Source organism: Homo sapiens, chromosome 2, assembly GCF_000001405.40.
Source record: "Homo sapiens chromosome 2, GRCh38.p14 Primary Assembly".
Taxonomy (NCBI): Eukaryota; Metazoa; Chordata; class Mammalia; order Primates; family Hominidae; genus Homo; species Homo sapiens.
Window position 1 is genome coordinate 87,601,619 of NC_000002.12, and position 19,577 is coordinate 87,621,195.

The 19,577-nt window shown below is 40.9% G+C and overlaps 1 long non-coding RNA gene across 1 annotated transcript in view; it reads left to right on the plus strand.

Annotated features, from left to right (window-relative positions):
* NCAL1 (NK cell activity associated lncRNA 1) overlaps nucleotides 1-19,577 on the plus strand; it is a 282,375-nt gene that overhangs the window by 146,140 nt on the left and 116,658 nt on the right. The window contains exon 2 of the long non-coding RNA NR_186253.1: nucleotides 4,975-5,151. This is a non-coding gene — a long non-coding RNA (NK cell activity associated lncRNA 1). The remainder of the gene's footprint in view (nucleotides 1-4,974; nucleotides 5,152-19,577) is intronic.

A 19,577-nucleotide genomic window follows, 5' to 3' on the forward strand; every position in this document is an offset into this window, starting at 1 on the left:
ATCAAGCAACATCCAAAGGTAGACCTGGCTTTCGGCACAGCTGGGTTCACAGCCCTGGTAATGTCCTCAGGACTCAGTTGTGTCCATCTGGTTCCTCTGACGCTCTGTGTGGAAGGAGGAGGTGGCGCAGCAGCAGCCTCCAGCTTGGCATAGCCATGGTGGGGAGCAGGACCCCAGCGCTTAGGTTTGGCTCCTATCTCAGCAAACTGGTGCTCTGCCAAACTGAATTTGGAAGACTTGCTTTCCCAGAGAAGAGAGCACATGAGCCTTCCTGACTGCGAGTGATATTGCTGACACAAACTGGACACTTCCTCCACTCTGTAGCTAAGGGGCAGCTGGGCCTTTCAATGCAGCTCTTTTCTAGCAAGGGAGACCCCACCAGAATTGAGATGGGTAACCCCGAGCCCTGTGCACAGGTGCCTGCTTTTATTCCCTCATTCATCTCGGTCTGAACATTCCTGACCTTGACTCTTGCCTGCGACATCCTCTGCACTCCTCCACATGCTCCACTCAGCTCGCTCCTGAGAGCTGGTAATTAATCGGCCTTGTCTTTACCCTCTGACCCCACTGAGCCTCCCAGATGGGTTTCCACACCTGGCAAATGACCTTGGAGTTACTCCTAACTTTGTCCCACAGGCCTGCTGGATTGGATTTAATGTTTGCTTGCTAACTTCTCTGACTCTTGACCTGGTCTGGTCACTTGCTGTGGTTGTGTGTGACACCTCTGTGTTATACACAGTGCCGGGCATTGCTTTTTCAGCAGCCTGGAATCCACTGCCTCTTCTTTCCCCAATTCGATGTCCTTTTGTGGCACTACTCTCTCACTGGGCGCCGTCTTCATGGTAAATCCAGGTGCTTTTCCCCCTGCGTGGAAGTGGAAAGTTGTCCACAGTGTCTCCTCCCTTGCCCCAGGGTGGTCCTGAGCTGAGCTGAGCTGAGTGGTCTCAGGGGGAGGGACAGCAGGCTGTTTGTTCCCTGTAGAGGCGCTTGATGGTGGAGCGCTCTTGTCCCAGTTGAACCTGGTTCTCCAGCTCAGAATCCAGCACCCCTGTTGACCTCACAAGCTCCTTCATAGCTTCCAATTCATTCCCCTCCCTGCTTGAGTCAGCAAGGGTCGTTCCTTCTGCTTTCAAGAGTCCTAGCTCATATTCCTGTGCTGTGCTCTATCTTCCCTGGCTTTATAGATTTACTTGGGCTCTTTTCACTCCTCCCTCTGAAGTTACCAATTGCACTTTTTCTGGTCTCATGGGCTGGCCTCCTGCAGCATGCTCTGCTCTTCCCAGCTTTGGGCCAGCACTTCCTGCTTCCTGCCAGGCCCCCGCTGTTCTGAGGTGGATCTGGGCTGCAGTCCAGGAGACAAAATTCTCCACTGTGACACCATCTACATGCCCAGATGTTCCCTCCATGTACTTCCTCTTTCTCCTTTTCTTTTCCAAACTCACAACCTTCCAGTGAGAGAAGGAATGAAAACACCACCTGTAACACCAATTCCTCCAATTTCCTCCCCAGAACTTCAAAGTAAACAGAAATGTATTGGGCTTAGACTGGGACTTATGGATGGTCAGAGTTGGAAGAAGCCTTAGAAACCATCACAAGCCTTTGCTCCCAGGGCTGTCTCTGATCGTTTGGTTGTGGCTGACTGGGTTGTCACATCTGGACACAGGAAGAAAAGTGCTGGGAGTGATTCCCAATGTCTGAGTGGATGAGGGAAGGGGGAGTGACAGCATATGAGCTAGTTATTTGCCCGTCCTTTAACAATCTGCTCTGTACTTTACAAAATGGGGAAACTGAGTCACACATCTATCAAGCTGTCTAAGGCCACACAGGAAGTCAGGGCAGATTTGGGGGTAGAATCCAGGTTGTCCAGCCTTCTCTATCAACAACAATGACTTCTCTTTCCCATTGGAATTCACTGTCATAGGATGTCATCTAAGTCCACTTCCTGACAGCATGTGTGTCTCCCAGTCTGTGATGTCATGCTATACTCGGCCACCTCTGTACAGGACAGTGTGGCACGAAAGGGATCCTGCTGGTGCCTGTGGGGCTGGGGCTAATACTCTGGGACAACTTTCAGAATCACAGTTCTTCTACCCTAGGACAAGAGGGTGGTATACAGCCAAGGAAAGGTGGTCCTGGGCTCTGCAGCCATGGAGCTCCAGGGTTTGGAAGGTGCCGTGGAATCTTACTCCTTAGTTTGGACTTTTGTCAAACTGCAGCTGGAAAAAAATTAGAAATTGCTGCTCCAAATGGAACATACTCCATTTCATTCCAAATGAGAAGTAAACAAATAGACGGGTGAGCCTCCCCAAAATGATAAAACTCTTCACACTTAAGATGAGAAGTCAGTTCAAGTGCAGTCCTGGCGTGACTCACTGGGGTTTGCTGCAGGAAGATAGGGGCGAAATGTCCTCATCCTGCCTATAGAAGCCAGCTCCTTATTTTAAATCCCATCCTGCTTGACTATCAAAGTCAGACAGAGCCTTCCTAAAAGCTGAAACACACGCACAGAATGAGAAGTCCCTGCGGGAGCAAGTTCACTGTGGTGAGAACCTTGCAGAGCAGACAGCTCCAGGGGCCAGCGGCTGCCTGCAAACACTTGCTGAGCAAGTCCCTGGGAGAGGGGCCTTTCTCCCAGGCCAGGAACGCCAAAGTGGGGTTTCCTGATAAGGAACACAGAACTGCTGTTTCTTGGAGAGGGAGTTCACACGGACTGGGATCCATTCTCAGGCTGGGCCTTAGTAGTGGGACAGCATCCTGTTTTATTAAAAGCCTGTTGCTGGCAGGGAAAGCCATCTGCCTGCTGAGTGGGCAGGGGCCCAAGATCGCTGTGGGCAATTCCAAGCCAGTACTGGGAGCTGACATCAAACCAGGAAAGAACACGACTGTTTTTAGCTGATGTAGCAGTACATTTTCTTTCTTTCCTTCTTTCTTTTTTTTTTTTTTAATAGTTCTATTGCCCGGTTTCACTGTGTACATTTTGTGTGTGCAGGCATGCGTGTGACATCCTGTACCCAGCTACAGCCGAGGTTCACTCTGAGATGAGCCCACCCCACTTATTCTCCCCTTCTCCCTCCTTTCCCCACCTCCCCCTCTTCCCCATCCTTCCCCCACTGACCTCCCCAGCTCTAAAACCCCTGATAGACATAAAGAACAGAGGGAAACCCAGGCTGTAACCTGGGGTTATTCACAGGGTTGGGGTGGGTGAGAGAAGAAAAACAGACTTCTTTGTTTATCTTTTGAGTCTTGAAATTCTAAAAAATTCATTCATTTCCAAGGAAGCCTTAATTTGTAGGATTCCAAGAAATTTAAAAAAAGTAAAGGGAGATTCACTTCAAAAGAAACTAGGGGAAAAGCTGTTTTCTTTTTTAGCTGATTTGTTCATTATTCTTATTTTATTTAAAGTTAGGTTTGTTGAAGGCAGGCAAAGGTAGTCACTTTTTCATATTTGTATTACATTCTTACTTTCTTCCTCCATTGCCTTATCAGTTAAGAGGGCAAATAATATTTCAAGAGACTGATAGAATATGTTCTGCACTCTGCTCATTTCATAGCTCTCTGGGGAATTGGGGTTTTTATAAACTTTTATAATCACATTTTCTGCTGAGGTTATAGATGACTCCAAGAATCTTCCATTCATGCTGTAAATTAAAGTGACTCAAATTGCTTCCACTTTTACAAATTAAAAAAAAATGTACTTCTATACAGATTTTTAACAATTAACAAAAGGCCATTTTAACGCTCTGGTTGGTTGCCTGTACGTGATTTTTCTGGCTTTTCTTAAAATTTGGAGTGAACAGCTCCCATGTCAAATATAACATGTTAACTTATTGGCTTCTCTTTAACCCTGCACACAAACAATAAACTTTTCATGTAGAGCCAGAAAATGGTATATGTTGTGAACTTTTTTTTTTTTTTAAAGATAGAGTTTGTGGTGATAAAGGGATTTCAGAAAAAAAAATGTACTTGAAAATATGTTACTTCACATTGGAACATTCAATTTTATCTTAAGGATATAAATATTCAATTTTACCACATTAATCTTTGTACTGAGATAAGCCAAAAATAACGTAAACTGACAATTGTTTGCTATACATTCTAATATTTTACATATTTATAGGAGTTTTCCAAGTCATGAGATATCATATAAGGCACACAAAAAAAGAATGACATAAATCATGTTAAGTGCAGTCTACTTTTTCCTGAGCTATATCTTTAAGACAAAAGATATTTAACAAATTGAACTTGTTTTTTGTGGGAGGGTCCACTCTCTGGTTACTTAAGAGAAAACCAGAGGATTATCTTCGTGGTGAAGGAAAGTGTATAGAAGGCAGTATTTTTTTTTTCTGTTATAAAGGGCCAGGGCTCTATCCGTTGGTGCAGTGTTCTGCCTTTTGTGTTTTTTTCTGGTTAATTTAAAACATTAGCTCCAAGTTTTTAATGTAGTAGTTTCCCGTGAGTCACTGGGCTGAAAGCCCATCCTATCTGTGTCAGGCAAGGGTCCAAGACAAGAAACAAGGAGAACACAGATATAAGAAAGCTTTATTAGTGCAGCTAAACATTGATAATTAGGAAAGTTCCAGTTCTTCTATGGTAGTTTATTTGTAGATAAATGTAGTTGTAACCTTTTGGTGCCAAAGGAAAAACTCCTCATTCAAGACAAGGGATACGGAATAGGAAGAGCTCAAAGAAAACACAGTTTTCTGTGTTACAGACAAGTATTTACATTACTAATCAACTTTTGGTTCAGGAAAGAAGTGATAATCTGTTTAGATTTTTAAAAGGAATTCAATATCCTGTTGACTAAATGCAGAGCAGGTTCAGAGGAAGACGACTGTTGAATAATGCAATTGATTCCTTCCAAGAAAGCATAGGGTGTAGTTTTTATTATAGGAAGTGCCATCGATAGTACTTTTTCTGCTTTCTGGAAAATCACCCAGGAAATAAAATTTGTTTTAAACATTATTTTTAAAACAGGCTCTGCCGACTTCCAGTTCTGGAACAAGATGGTTAAACTCATTTTTCCCTGCTCTGCTCCTCTAAATACAACTAAGTACCTTGGAAACTATTCAGCAGACAATGATAAAGGGCTCTGAAAGCTAGAAGAAAAGGTGTACTTGCAAGAAACCTCAGGACTTGAGTAACAGCAACATGGTAAGTTTTCTAAGTTTTCTTTTCGTCTCCCATATACGCTGGGCTGTGCTGGAATCACCAACAGGCACAGAAAAAATGACAACAAAACAACAACAAAACCCCCAAGAATATCCTGTTGTCTTTGGCCAAAGTTCAGGAAAGGGGAGCCCCAACAGAGACCCAGTAGGAAGCTCTAGCCCCTGTTTTGTACAACCCAGGGTCCTTGCAGAGAGATTGATCTGCCAGCAGTGGCATCAGCAGCAATAGTAGCAGCAGCAAAGCCCTGGACAGTCCTGGCCCCCAGTCCACAACTTAGACACAGCACATGGCCTAATTCACCCACAGAAGCAGCCACTGTGAAGCCCTGTGTCTCCCCAGACTCCATCCAGTGGCATAAGGAGACCCAGGCCCTGCAGCTTCCTCCCCATCATGGAAGGCTGTCCATCTACAGAGTTTCCAAACATAATAAGCACTAAGGAAACAACATAACATGATATGCCGAAAAAAAAAATCACAATTAAATCAAAATGAAACATCAAAAAATGTCCAAGTAAACCACAGGAAGGCAAGAAAAAAGAAACAAAAGTGTAATAAACAAAAGGATCAATCAGAGAACAAATAATAATAAAATATCAGACTTAGTCCTAATATATCAATAATTATCTTAAATGTAAATGTTCTAAATGCATCCATTAAAATGCAGAGATTGGCAGAGTGTATTACAAAACATGACCCAGCTATGTGTTGTTTACAAGAAACTCACTTCAAATTCAATGATATAGGTAGACTGACAGCAAATTGATGGAAAAAGTTATAACGTGTAAACATTAGTCAGAAGGAAGCACAAGTGGCTATGTTAACATCAGAAAAAGCAGACTTCAGAGCAAAGAAAGTTACTATAGGCAAAGAGGGAAATTACATAATAACAAAAAGAATTAATTCACCAAGAAGATGTAGCTCTCCTGTTGTGATGTTATGATATATGTCGGTTTTCATCCGTGGGTCCTGGCTCATAACTCCCACATCCCGTGTTAGAGTCTTTTGTTATATTGTTGGGGGTGTTAGGCCTCAGGGACAGGCCTCTGACCTTCTCCTGCCTTCCTTTCACTCTAATGTTCTCCCACCTTTCTGCCTTTCTCATTGTGGATCTTAAGACCCTCCCATGAGACAGTCCCACCCTATATCCTGGGGGAAGGAATGCTGACATCATGAAGCTTCCATAAAAAGCCAAGAGGACAAGGTTGTTAAGCTTCCAGATAGCTGAACATGTGGAGGTTCCTGGAGAGTGGTGCACCCAGGGAGGGCATGGAAGCTCCGTGACCCTTTCTCCATACCTCACCCTAGGCATCTCTTCATCTGTCTCCTTTGCAATATTTTTTAATTATAAACCCGTAAACATAGGTAAACATTTCTCTGAGTTCTGAGAGCTGCTCCAGCAAATTAATCAAACCCAAAGAGGGGGTCATGGGAACCCCACCTTGAAGCTGGCTAGTCAGAAGTTGTGGAGGCCCAGACTTACAACTGGTGTGTGTATGGGGGCAGTCTTGGGGGCTGAACCTTCAACCTGTGGGATCTGACTCTATCTCTGGGTAGATAGTGTCAGAACTGCATTGGAGGACACCCAGCTGGTGTCCGCTGCTATATTCTAGCTGATTTTCTCCCTAGTAGTCCTAGTAGTCTTGAGTGTGGGGAGACAGTGGGGGATTGATGCCCCAACCACAATTGTGGATTTCTTCTTTCAGCTGTCTTAGTTTTTGCTTCAGATATGTGAAAGTCTGTTGTTTGGTTCATAGGTATATAGAGAAAACTCTCCCTAGCTGTGTTTTTCTTCTGCTGTCACACCATGACAACATCAACACAGAAGCCTTTCTTCATATCGTATAAGGGCACAAAAAAGGAATGACATAAATCATGTTAAGTGCAGTCTATTTTTCCTGAGCTGTTATCTTTAAGACAAAAGATATTCAACAAATAGAATTTTATTTTTTTGCGGTGTGGGGTATCCACTCTCTGGTTACTTAGGAGAAAACCAGAGGATTATCTTTATGGTGAGGGAGAGTGTATAGAAGGCAATATTTTTTTTCTTTTATAAAGGCACAGGGCTCTATCTGTTGGTGCAGTGTTCTGACTTTTGTGTTTTTTCTGGTTAATTTAAAACATTAGCTGCAAGTTTTTAATACAGTAGTTTCCCATGAGTCACTGGGCCTTTCTTCTGTGTTGATGATTGTGGTGTGACAGTAAAAGAAAAACACAGTTAGTGAGCATTTTCTCTACATACCTATGAACCAAACAACAGACTTTCACATGTCTGAAGCAAAAACTAAGACAGCTGAAAGAAGAAATCCACAATTGTGGTTGAGGCATCAATCCCTGCTGTCTCCCTGCACTCAGGACTTCTAGGACTACTAGCAAGAAAATCAGCAAGAATATAGAAAAACTCAACCACACCATCAACTGACAGGATCTAATTGGCATTCATAGCACAATCTGTCCAACAACAGCAGAATACACATTTTTTTAAAGGTCCCATGAGACATTTACCAAGATAGAGAATATCCTAGATCATAAAACAAACATTAAAAAGTTCAAGAGAATTGAAATTATACAGACTATGTTACCTGGCCATAATAAAATCAAAGTAGAAATCAAGGCAGAAAGTCAATAGGCAAATCTCCAAACCCTTGGAAACTAAACAAAAAACATTTAAATAATCCATGCATCAAAGTGGTAATCTCAAAGGAAATTTTAAAAAGACAAGAAAAGAATGAACATGAAAATATGACATGTTAAAATTTGTAAGATTAGCTAAAGCAGTGCTGAGAATAAAATTGATAGGAGTAAATGCTTACATTAGAAAAGAGGAATGATCTCAAATTACTAATCTAAGTTTCTACTTCAAGAAATTAGAAAAGTTGAGCAAAATAAACTCAAAGGAAGCAGAAAGGAGGAAATAAAAAAGAGCAGAAACTAATGAACTTGAAAACTGGAAAAAGAAAAAATGAAACAGAAAGTTGTCTCTTTAAAAGAATTAATAAGATTAATAACTTTTAGCAAGAATGGCAAATATAAAAAGAGAGAAGACATGAATCACCAACATCAGAAATGAAATAGGGGACACCACAATAGATGTCTTTAGCTATAAAAAGATAATTTAAAAACTGTAATCAACTTTATGCTCATATATTCAACAAGTTTGAAGAAATGGGCTAATTCCTCAAAAACCACAAAGTACTAAAACTTAGCCAAGGTGAAACAGATAATCTGAATAGCTGTGTAGATATTTCTAAGAATTGGATTTATAATAAAAATACTCCCCAAAAAGAAATCTCCAGGTCCAGAGGGTTTCATCCAAGAATTTTACCAAACATTCAAATAAAAATTAATGCCAATTCTATGTGTATCTTCCAGAAAATAGGAGAGAAGAGAAAATTAGGAAGTTCCCAATTCTCTTTATGAAGCCGTCATTACTCTGATACCCAAACCATCTAAAGAAAGTATGCAAAAAGAAAGCTACAGATCAATATCTCTCATGAACTTTGGATGTAAAAATCACCAATCAAATGTAATTAATCAAAATCCAACAATGTATAAAAAGACTAAAGCACCATGACCAAGTGAAATTTATGCCAGGTAGACAAAGCTGATTCAATATTTGAAAAGAAATTAATAAAATTTATCATAGCAACAGGCTAAAGAAGAGAAACCATATAATCATAGCAGTTGGCAACAAAAAATTATTTAACAAAATTCAACACCCATTAATGATGAAAATAGAAAATCCTCTCAAATACACTAGGAATAGAGGGAGACTTCCTCAACCTCATAAAGAACATCTATTAAAAAACTACATCAGACATTGTATTTCATGATAAAGACAGAATACATTGCCTTATACAATCCAAAACAAGGCGAAGATTTCTACTTTCATCAGTCTTATTAAACACAGTACTAGAAGTTCTAGCCACTGCAATAAGGCAGGAAAAGGGAATAAAGGTCATGCTCATTGGAAAATAAGAAATGAAACTGTCTCCTTTTTTAGGCAGCATGATTATTTAAATAGAAAATCCCCCAAAAAATCTATGAAAAATAGGTTGTCCTCCTTCTGTTGGCTACATTGATCAGGCAAGTGCTGCTAGTTGTTCTTAGGGGTTCTGCTTAAGTGCTGCAGGAGATGGCAGCACAGAAGCTGAGGCACAGCTTGGGCATGGTAGACCAGGGGGACACCCAACTCCATTACTCCCTAGCTCTATGCCCCTGAACACCTTCCTTGATCCAGCTGAACTTTGGTCCCCTCATCTGCAATGGTGTTGATGATAGAACCCAGAGGCCATAATTCTTGTGAGTATTAAATGAGAGCAAGTGTGTAGTAAATGTGTCATTGTACTTGCTGCGGGTACTGCTGCTGTTGCTGCAGTTGTATGTGATACTGTGCTATTTGTTCTGCCACTCCCAGGCACTGCCACTGGAGCCCTTGTTCAGTGATCCTATGACTTGTCAGCTCAGTCAATTGCTCTGACTCTTACTGCTTTCATTTATGAAATGGAGACAATAACCCCTCTCTCATAGGAAGGGTAAGACCAGAAGAGCCTACACTATGGTTGGAATAATATTTGTATACAGTGATCAAGAGAATGTTCTCTGAAACCAGACTCTCTTTAAATCTTACCTCTATCACTTATTAGTTATATGGCTAGCTGTTAAATGAGGTCAAAAGAGTGTGTTCTTCATAAAACTATACAGAAGATTAAATTAATTAAAACATGTACAGTCCTTTTAAAAAAGATCAAGTGAAACAGCATACATGAAAGTGCTTTCAGCACGCTGAGAATAACAATAGCAATGGCTAGAGATTATGGAGCACTCCCCACTGCCAGCACCAGGGGAACTTTGTACCTACAACTTTTTACTTAGTCCACATAACCATGAATTCGTCTCATTTATGTAGACCGGGAAACAAAAGCCTAGAGAAGTAATTTGCCCAAAGACCTAGCTTACAAAGCAATAGAATCCAGGTCTGGACTCTCGGGATCTGACTGTGTTCTAATGCCTCCCAGAGAAAGTAGGCTAGAGAGGGCAGGAATAGCTTGACTTAGAGATCACTTCCACTGGCACGGTGGGTACAATCTGATGTGGGAGGCTCTGGGTGCAGCCTGTGATGGCAGAGTGGAGGAGCCAGGAGTCATTCTTGGCCTCATTGTCACTGCCTTCAAACTAACAAGTTGCCTGAGAGCTAAGGTTCCATTTGATAGGACACCGGGTGGGATGTGCATCAGAATATCCATTTCCTTGAAGGATCCAATGATTAGGCTGAGGCAAAATGTTTTAGACCATTCCCAGGTCTAAAAATAACTCCATCATCACCTCTAATAAGGACTCAGTCTGGAGTGACATCACTCCTTCAGGTGCAGAAAAGGAAAGCATGACTGTGTGTCACTGACTTAAAATAGGAGTGAGGTGAGAGGGGCAGCTGGGCTCATGGACGTCAAGTGGACAGTTTCTCAGCTGGTATTTCCTATATTTCCTGTTTTGGACAGCAGGTTCCTGCCCTTCTAAGCTGGGGGTAGGGGTGAGGGAGTGTATGTTAAAAAGCTCTGTGGACTTGCTTTTTCTCTTCTCCATGTGTGTTCTTTCCATCAATAATCTGCGTTCATCTTTACTGGCTGTTCATGCATTATCTGGAGATACGCTAGTTACAGAAATTCAAACAGGCAACTCTTCCTCTTTCTCCCTAGCTTTACACTACAGATCCATGAAGTTTTCTTGACTGTCCCTGCCTAGGGTACAACAAGGAAACCACTATTTGGATAATTCCCCTGATTCCATGGTACTGTGGAAGTGGTGGGCTCTCCATATGTCAGGGTATTCTATGTCTATGAAAAGGTATCTCTTTTGAGACCAAGGGTGGACGGGATCCTAAGAGTCTACCAATTTTTAAAATAATTTAGCTATATTTAAGTCAATAAATTGTATTCAAGGCTGACTTTGTAGTGATGTATTCCATGAATTATTTCATTCAAAATAATTTTGAAAGGACTTCTGGTCCAGACAAAATAGCATAGATCCATTTCTGTCTTCTCTCCTCTCAGTTAAATGCAATTATAAAGTCTAGAAATAATGCAAGAGGTAACCAAAGGAGAACTCTGAAAGATGGAAACAGAAAGAGGAATTAGTTAGGGACCCTAAGACTGGAGGAACAATAGAGGTAGGATGTCTTACCATCACCGCATCCAACAAGAGAAGGTGACCTAGGCCTGGTATTACCTGATCCCAACTTGGCACCAAAAGACAGCCAACATAGACTCATTCCTCCTGCTTCCTGGTGAGCCTGGTATTCTCCTCCACTTCCACTGACAGACATGTAGGGTGACTGGGTGGTATCAACAATAGGAACCACATCATAACAGGCAGCCTAGTTTGGGAAGCACTCTTGGTCTCCGTAGGCCTGAGACTCCTTTTGCCCATCTAGAGGCACCAGGTGGCCCAGCCCATGGAAATTCCCTCAGCCCCAGAAAGGGGCACCAGAAAGGACCAGTGGGAGCTCCAGTAGGCTATAATAGTATGAAGGCTCTGAAATGAAGTTGCCACTGGACCTACAGCCCACTAAACTAGGCTAGGACCTTAGGTGATAGCCTGAAAAAAAAAAAAAAAAAAAGACCCAGAGTCTTTTAACATAAAAAACAGGATGTGCAAATACAATGAAAAAACACACATTATACCAAGGACTAGGAAAACTACCTAAATGAGAAAAGACAAGTGACACCAACACTGAGATGAATCAGATAGTGGAACTGTCTGACAGACTTTAAAACAGCCATTATAAAAATGTTTCAGAAAGCAATTACAAATTCTCTTGAAACAAATGAAGGAATAGAAAAATCTCAGTGAGGAAATAGAAATTGTGAAAGAAGAACCAAGTGGAAATTATAGAATTAAAAAATATAACAATAGAAATTTTAAAAAAATCACTGGATTCTACTCAATAGTAGAATTGATATGACAGAGGATAGAATCAGTGAAATTGAGGAAAGAACAATATAAATCCCCCAGTCTGAATAACAGAGAGAAAATAGACTGAAAAGCTCTACCTTGAATGATAACTTTGATCACAAACTAGTAGTATTAACCACGTGGAAGAGGAGTTGCTAAATCAACTTAAGAGAACAAATAGTTTTAGGTGAGTGACAAATAATTGGAAAATTAAAAAGTTAAATGATGTCATGTATAATAACATCAACATACAGAGAAATAAATCTAATAAAATGTAATTAAAAACTATAAAATCATTGTGAAGAGGCATTAAAAGAATCCAAAATATATATTCATGGAATAAAAGACAATATTTTTATAGTCAGTTCTGTCCAAATTGACCTATAGAGTCAGTACAATTTTACAACAAATTTTAGTGGAATTTTGTTTATTTTATTTGAGGAATAAAGTTTATATTTTATTTGGAAATTTAAAGGACTGAAACAATCTTGAGCAAGAACATTTGTTAAGACTTATTCTGAAGCTTTAGCAAATAAGACAGTGTGAGATACACACAAGCATAGACAAATAGACCAATGGAACAGAAAAGAGAGTACTAGAAAACAGACCACGCATATTCAGTCAGTTGATTTATGACAAAAGCAATACTGCCATGCAATTGGAATAGGACAGATAATGTTTGCATAAATGTTGCAGGGTCAGTTGGATCTTCATACTTAAAAAAAATGAATCTTGACTCTACCTCACACCACACACACAAATCAATCAGATAGAATGTAGATCTAAAAGTGAAAGGCAAAATAATAAAACTTCTAAAAGATAACATAAGAGAATAATTTATGACCTTGGAGTAAAATCTTTTCAAATGTAATACAAAATATACTAAGCACAAAGGAAAAGACTGATTGATGAATTGGACTTCATTAAAACTAAGAACTTCTGCCCGGGTGCGATGGCTCACACCTGTATTCCAAGCGCTTGGGGAGGCCAGGAAGGGAAGATCCCTACAAAATATTTAAAAAATTAGCCAGGTGTGGTGGCATACCCTTGTGGTCCCAGCTACTCAAGAGGCTGAGGTGCAAGAATTGCTTGAGTCCAGGAGTTTGAGGCTGCAATGAGCCCTGTTTGCACAACTGCACTCCAAAAATAATAAAAATAAAATACATAAAATTTTAAAACCTAAGAACTTCTGTTTATCAAAAGACACCATTAAGAGAGTGAAGAAGCAAGCCCTTGAGTAAGAGAAGATATTTGCAAATCATAAACCCAATACAGGGTTTGTATCTAGAATATTTAAAGAATTTCCATGAGTCATTAATAACCCAATAGAAAACATGGGCAAAAGATTTGAACAAGCACTTCACAAAAGAGGCTTTGTAATTTTCTAATAAATGCTAGCAAGGAAGTGCAAATTCAAGTCATAAGGAGATAACCTCTACAGAGCCACCAGGGTTGTCCAAAATGACAGACTAATAATACTAAGTGCCAGAGAGAATATACAGCAACTACAGCTGCCATCCTCTGGCTGGTGTGAGTGTAAATTAGTATAACCACATTGGAAAACTGGCAGGATCTACTACAGCTGAGCATTTGTGTATCTTATGACCCAGAAATTCTACAAAAATGTTCATGACTCTCTAGTTATAGTAACCAAAGACTGGAAACAATCCAAATTTCCATCAACAGTGGAATGGATAAGATGTACTGAGCAATGAAATTAAAGGACCTAATGCAACAGACAGTAACATGGATGAATGTAATAAACATCATGTTCAGTGAAAGAAGCCAGAAAACCAAGAGGGTACCCTGATGACTCCATTTACATGAAGTTCAAGAACAGACAAAGCTAATCAATGGGGTCAGGAGTCAAAGGTGATAGTTATTTTGGGTATGTGACTGGTAGGGGTACAAGTGAGACTTCTGTGGTGTTGGCAATGTCCTACTTCTTGACCTAGTCAGTGATTTCTCTGGTTTGCCTCCTTTGTGAAAATTCATCAGTGTGTTCTGGTTATTATTTGTGTGCTTTTCTCTATGTATCTTCTACTTCAGTAAAGAGTTTACTGAAAAGAACATACTTGGGTTTGCAGAGTTGAAAACACCCGCAACATCTTCATTGCCTCACAAAGACTATTTTACATGATGTTTAAAAACTTTAGAAGCTAAAATGCTGTTCTTTCATTCTGAGCTGATTACAGATTACAGATTAGTAAGAAAGTAAGTGGGCTACTTGTTTAAAGATGGTCTATGTTAAGTACCCTGATATCTTCTTTTGAAAGAGAGGTCAGTCTTCCTTTCAGCAGAGCATTCTGTTCACCTGCCTGCCCACCTACCTCATGGACCTTACAGAGCTTGGTTACCCTGACTCTAGGCCTCTCAGCTCTTGTACTGATCCTCCCAGCTGCTCTATTCTGATGCCATGACCCTGTCTGGAGACTAGAGAGGCTAGGCCACATTCAGCTCTTCCTTGTCACTGTACAACTCACCTGGTGACTTGGTTTTTTTTTTTTTTTTTTTTTAATTCCATGCCGATGTACCCTGACATGGAGAACTAAAGACAGAATTATTTAGGGATTTCCTCTCTCTCATTCTGAAAACGTATAAATAGCCTTTGCTGAGTTACTTTGTTAAAATAACCCTGACATTTTTTTAAATGAGCAAAGGGGCTCTAACATGGAAGGTAGATATACTGAAGGAAAGAGCCCTTAAAGACAAAGGGCTAGTTTATTTCATTATGAGATGTCCAGGGCTTTCCAGTCCCTTAATTCTATCAATGAACCGAGTGAGAGGTAACAATGAGCTGTACATTTTTTACAAAACCTCTCTGCGTAGTCCCAGTAGTAGGTTGCTGAAATTATGTTAAAGTCAGGTGGGGACTTCTAGAAAACCCACTGTAACCCTCTTGTTTGGATGACATTGAGGCCAGGGAGGGGAAAAGAACTTGCAAGTTGAGCAGTAATAACACAGATCCCACAGGACAGCTGGCAGTGACCCCACAACAGGGATTTGAAAACAAAGTAAGGTCTTGTTGTACCCTTGGTTCCTCTTCTTTACTTCCTACTATCAAAGTCAGGTTCTAGAAACTTCCCTAGGAGGCGGCAAGAGGCAGTCTCTGCCTCCTCCCAGTAGCAAATTGGCCACAGGAAGTCCTCATTTGGGATGGACTGGAGGAGAGAGGCAGCTGTGTGGAAAGGGCAAACCTTGAAAACACCCAAGTCCTTGATTGGGCTTGCAGAAGGATGTGGCAAAGAGTAAAGATCTTGAGTTCTGGAGGCACAACTCATAGGTTCGAATCTTTTTTTTTTCTTTTTTTTTTTTAAATGGAGTCTGGCTTTGTCGCCCAGGCTGGAGTGCAGTGGCACGACCTTGGCTCACTACAAGCTCCGCCTCCCAGGTTCATGCCATTCTCCTGCCTCAACCTCCCAAGTAGCTGGGACTACAGCGCCACTACGCCCGGCTAATTTTTTGTATTTTTTAGTAGAGACGGGATTTCACTGTGTTAGCCAGGATGGTCTCAATCTCCTGACCTCGTGATCTGCCCGCCTCGGCCTCCCAGAGTGCAGGGATTACAGGCATAAGCCACCGCACACAGCCCGTAGGTTCAAATCTTACCTGCACCTCTTAACCTCTCAGGGCCTCAGTGTCCTCTACTTGTGAAGTAGGGATAACAGTCATATTCACTTCCTGGTTTTGCTGTGCAAAATGAATAGCATGTGATGCTGAGGCACTGTAAGTCGTGAGGGCAGATGATCACCCGCTTTAGGAGCCATTCTTCCAAAATCTTAAGTGAGTGAAAAAGAAGCAGAGATAGCTTTTTGTATTTGCGCATGGAGGCAGAGTTCATCTGTTGCCTGAGCTAACAGTATACTATTCAGCCCCTAGTGAAACTCTGGCCCCAGGGCAGGACCAACTAACTAGGTAGGGCAGTGATGAAAAAGGGAGAGTCTTCTCAGTGGAGTCTGGTCTGGGTAGAGATGTCAAAGGCAAACCATCACCTCCTTGACTTGTTGGCTCTAGGTGATGATGCTAACCTGACCTGGAGGGATAGCCCTTCTATGGGGTGGGCAGGGGCAGCCAGAGGTGTTCTGAAAACCAGAGAAGTCTCCTCACTGGAAAACATTTATTCCTGGGATCTGTCAGTTGATGGCAGAAATGTTCATTGTTAAAGAGCCGTTTCTTTGGCTTATTAATTGGTCCTCTGTTAGCCAGTCAACAATACTGTACCCAGCACAGATATCCTTGAGAAATGAAGGAGAAATAAAGTCTTTCCTAGATAAGCAAAAACTGATGGAATTTATCATCACTAGACTGACCCTACAATAAATGCTTAAGAGAGTCCTACATCTGGAAGCAAAAGGGCTATATTCACCATCATGAAAACCCTAAAGTATAAAACTCATTGGTAAAGCAGACACACAAATAAGAAAGAGAATGGAACCACATGTTATCATTACAGAAAACCACCAAACTGCAAAGATAAACAAAGGAAAGAAAGAAAGAAAGAAAGGAAGGAAGAAAGGAAGGAAGAAAAAGGATTATTTAAAATTATCAGAAAACAATTGAAATGACAGGAATAAGACCTCACCTATCAATAACAACTTTTTTAAATGGCTTAAATTTCCCAGTTAAAAGATATAGACTGGCTGAATGGATTTTAAAAGTGACCTAACTCTATGCTACCTACAAGAAACTAATTTCACCTGTGGAGACACACATAGACAGAAACTGAAGGGATGAAAAAAGATATTGCATGCAAAAAAAAAAAAAAAACCAAAAGTGTGCAGGAGTAGCAATACTTACAGCAGACAAAATAGATTTTAAGTCATAAAACATAGAGAAAAAGAGGTAATTATATAATGATAAAGGGATCATTTGAGTAAGAGGATAAAACAATTATAAATATACATATACTCAACACTGGAGCACCCAGATATAAAAAGAAAATATAATTAGAGCTAAAGAGAGATAGATGCTTATACAATCATAGTTTGGGACTTTAAAACTCAATTTTCAGCTTTGGAGAGATCATCTAGACAGAAAATCAACAAGGAAACATTAGACTTATACTGCACTAGAGACTAAATGAAGCTAATAGACATTTACAGAACATTTCATCCAGTAGCTGCAGAATCACATGCTTCCCTCTTCAGTACATGAAACATTCTCTAAGATAGACCATATGTTAGGCCACAAAACAAGCCTCAACAAATTTTTAATAATTGAAATCATATCAAATATGTTCTCAGACCACAATCGAATAAAACCAGAAATCGATGACAAAAGGAACTTTGAAAACTGTACAAATCCATGGAAATTAAACAACGTGCTCCTGAATGGTCAATGGGTGAATGAAGAAATTAAGAAGGAGGTCAAAAAAGTTCTCAAAACAAGTGAAAATAGAGCTGCAACATACCAAAACCACCAGCATTTTTTTTTTAGCAATAATCTATTTTTAAATCAGGTGTGTATATTTTTTAGACATAATGCTATTACATGCTTATGGGCTACAGTATGGTATAAGCATAACTTTTATAGTCACTAGGAAACCAAAAAATTTATGTGACTCACTTTATTGCAATATTCACTTTATTGCAGTGGTGTGGAACCAAACTGGCAATATCTCAGAGGTATGCCTATAGTTAACAAGAATATATTGCATATGTTCACAAAGCTGGAAGAGAAGATTTTGAATATTCTCAGCATGAAAAAATGATATATCTTTAGGTGATGTATTTCCTAATTATCCTGATTTGATCATTATATGCATGTACTGAAATATCACTCTGTGCACCATAAATATGCGCAATTATTTTGTGTCAACTAAAAATAAAAGGAAAAATAAAAGGCAGAGCCCTCTGGGAGGAGAAGACTAATTAGGCTTAGTGATTGCTAATTCTGGGAGCTGCATGCAAGCAGGTTTTAAAGAAGGCAGAAAACTTAAGGATGTGGATGTAAAAGGAAGTTACAATGACAACACAATTTACAGAAATCACTTAGTCACCTGGAGGACTCCAATTTCAAATGTGCCATGCTTGGATATTTGCTTACATTTTGCACAATGACTTTTCTGCCATCTCCTGTGAACCTCTGAGCAATCCTGTAAAGCAGGGATCATGCCCATTTTCCAGATGAGGAAACAGAGTGCCCATGCCCTGCCCATGGTTCCAGAATGCAGAACAGTCATCCTTGGGAGATGGGGGTGTCTGGTCCGAGTACCTCCAGTCTCACCTCTGCTTTGTGTCGCAGGTGGGGAGGGGTCACTGAAGACAAAGGCTCCTTGTGGCTATAGGAAGGGTCTGCCCACCAGGAGAGGTGGGAGGGGAGGAGTCTTATTCAGGCTGCCAAGGTTAAGCCTGGTTAACCACTTAGACCCAGAGTTAACTAGCAAGGGGCACAGGTACCTGCCTCAGAGCATTTGTCTCTGCCTGGAGTGTTTGACTAGAGGTCCTGAGAGCCTGGACCCTCCGACGCTCAGGTCTCAGCTGCCACATTCCCAAAGGTCATGATCATCCTAGACCACTCAGGTGCTCTTTGTTCTTCACCCTGCTTAATTTTTGTTAGGAGTGCTTCTGATGGCTTCTGGTCCATAGCCTGCCTCTGTCTCTGCCCTGCCAACTCCGTGCTCTGTCTCAACGTTGCACCTGAAACTGTGCCTGCCATGGGGTGGGTATTCAGTAGCCAACTGATGAATGAATCAATGAATAAATGAGCAGATAAATGAATGGGCAGGAAAGCTCCTCCTGTCACTCTCTACACTAACATGTAGGAAGTGTTGGAGGGACACACGTTAGTGGATGTCGGTCACTTAGTCCTGATAAAACAGAGTAGATGGTTTTCTTAGTAGGAGATCTTGAGGGCTCTTCTGTGAAGCCTCTTGTGGAACCAGTGAAGTACCTGAAAGGCAAGGATTGGGCAAATCAATTCCTTCTGGTTGTGGAGGAGAAGCCCTTCTAGGGTTGATGTTAATGCTGCATTTTAATGAAAGTGACTTTTCAGGCTTATAATTGGATGACATCAGCTCTATTTCTGCTTTTGCTTCTAGAATTTAGTGTGATTCTATTTTAAGAGACTAAGAAGAAAAAGCAATTTTTAGACTCTCATAAGAATACTAGCAACAATGGCAATAGCTAATGTCTCTGCAGCACTTAGAAAAGACTGTGCCCCCTGCCAAGAGCTTGACCTGGGCTATCTCGTTGAATCCTTGCAACACACAGCCCCTTGTATAGATGAGAAAACTAAGGCCTGAGCCAGCTGGCCACTCATCCGTCACAGCCTCCTTTCCTTTCCAGTGTTGGGGACAGCTCACAGTGGGCTGTAGGATGCCACTGGGCATCAGCCTGGCAAGGTAGCAGGTCATCTCATTTTTCTTTTTTCTGGAGGGTGAGGTTATCCTGCAAAATGGAGGTCATGGGGCCTCCTGCCCTGGAATTTCTGCCTCATCCCTGACATCTTGGATGTTATCC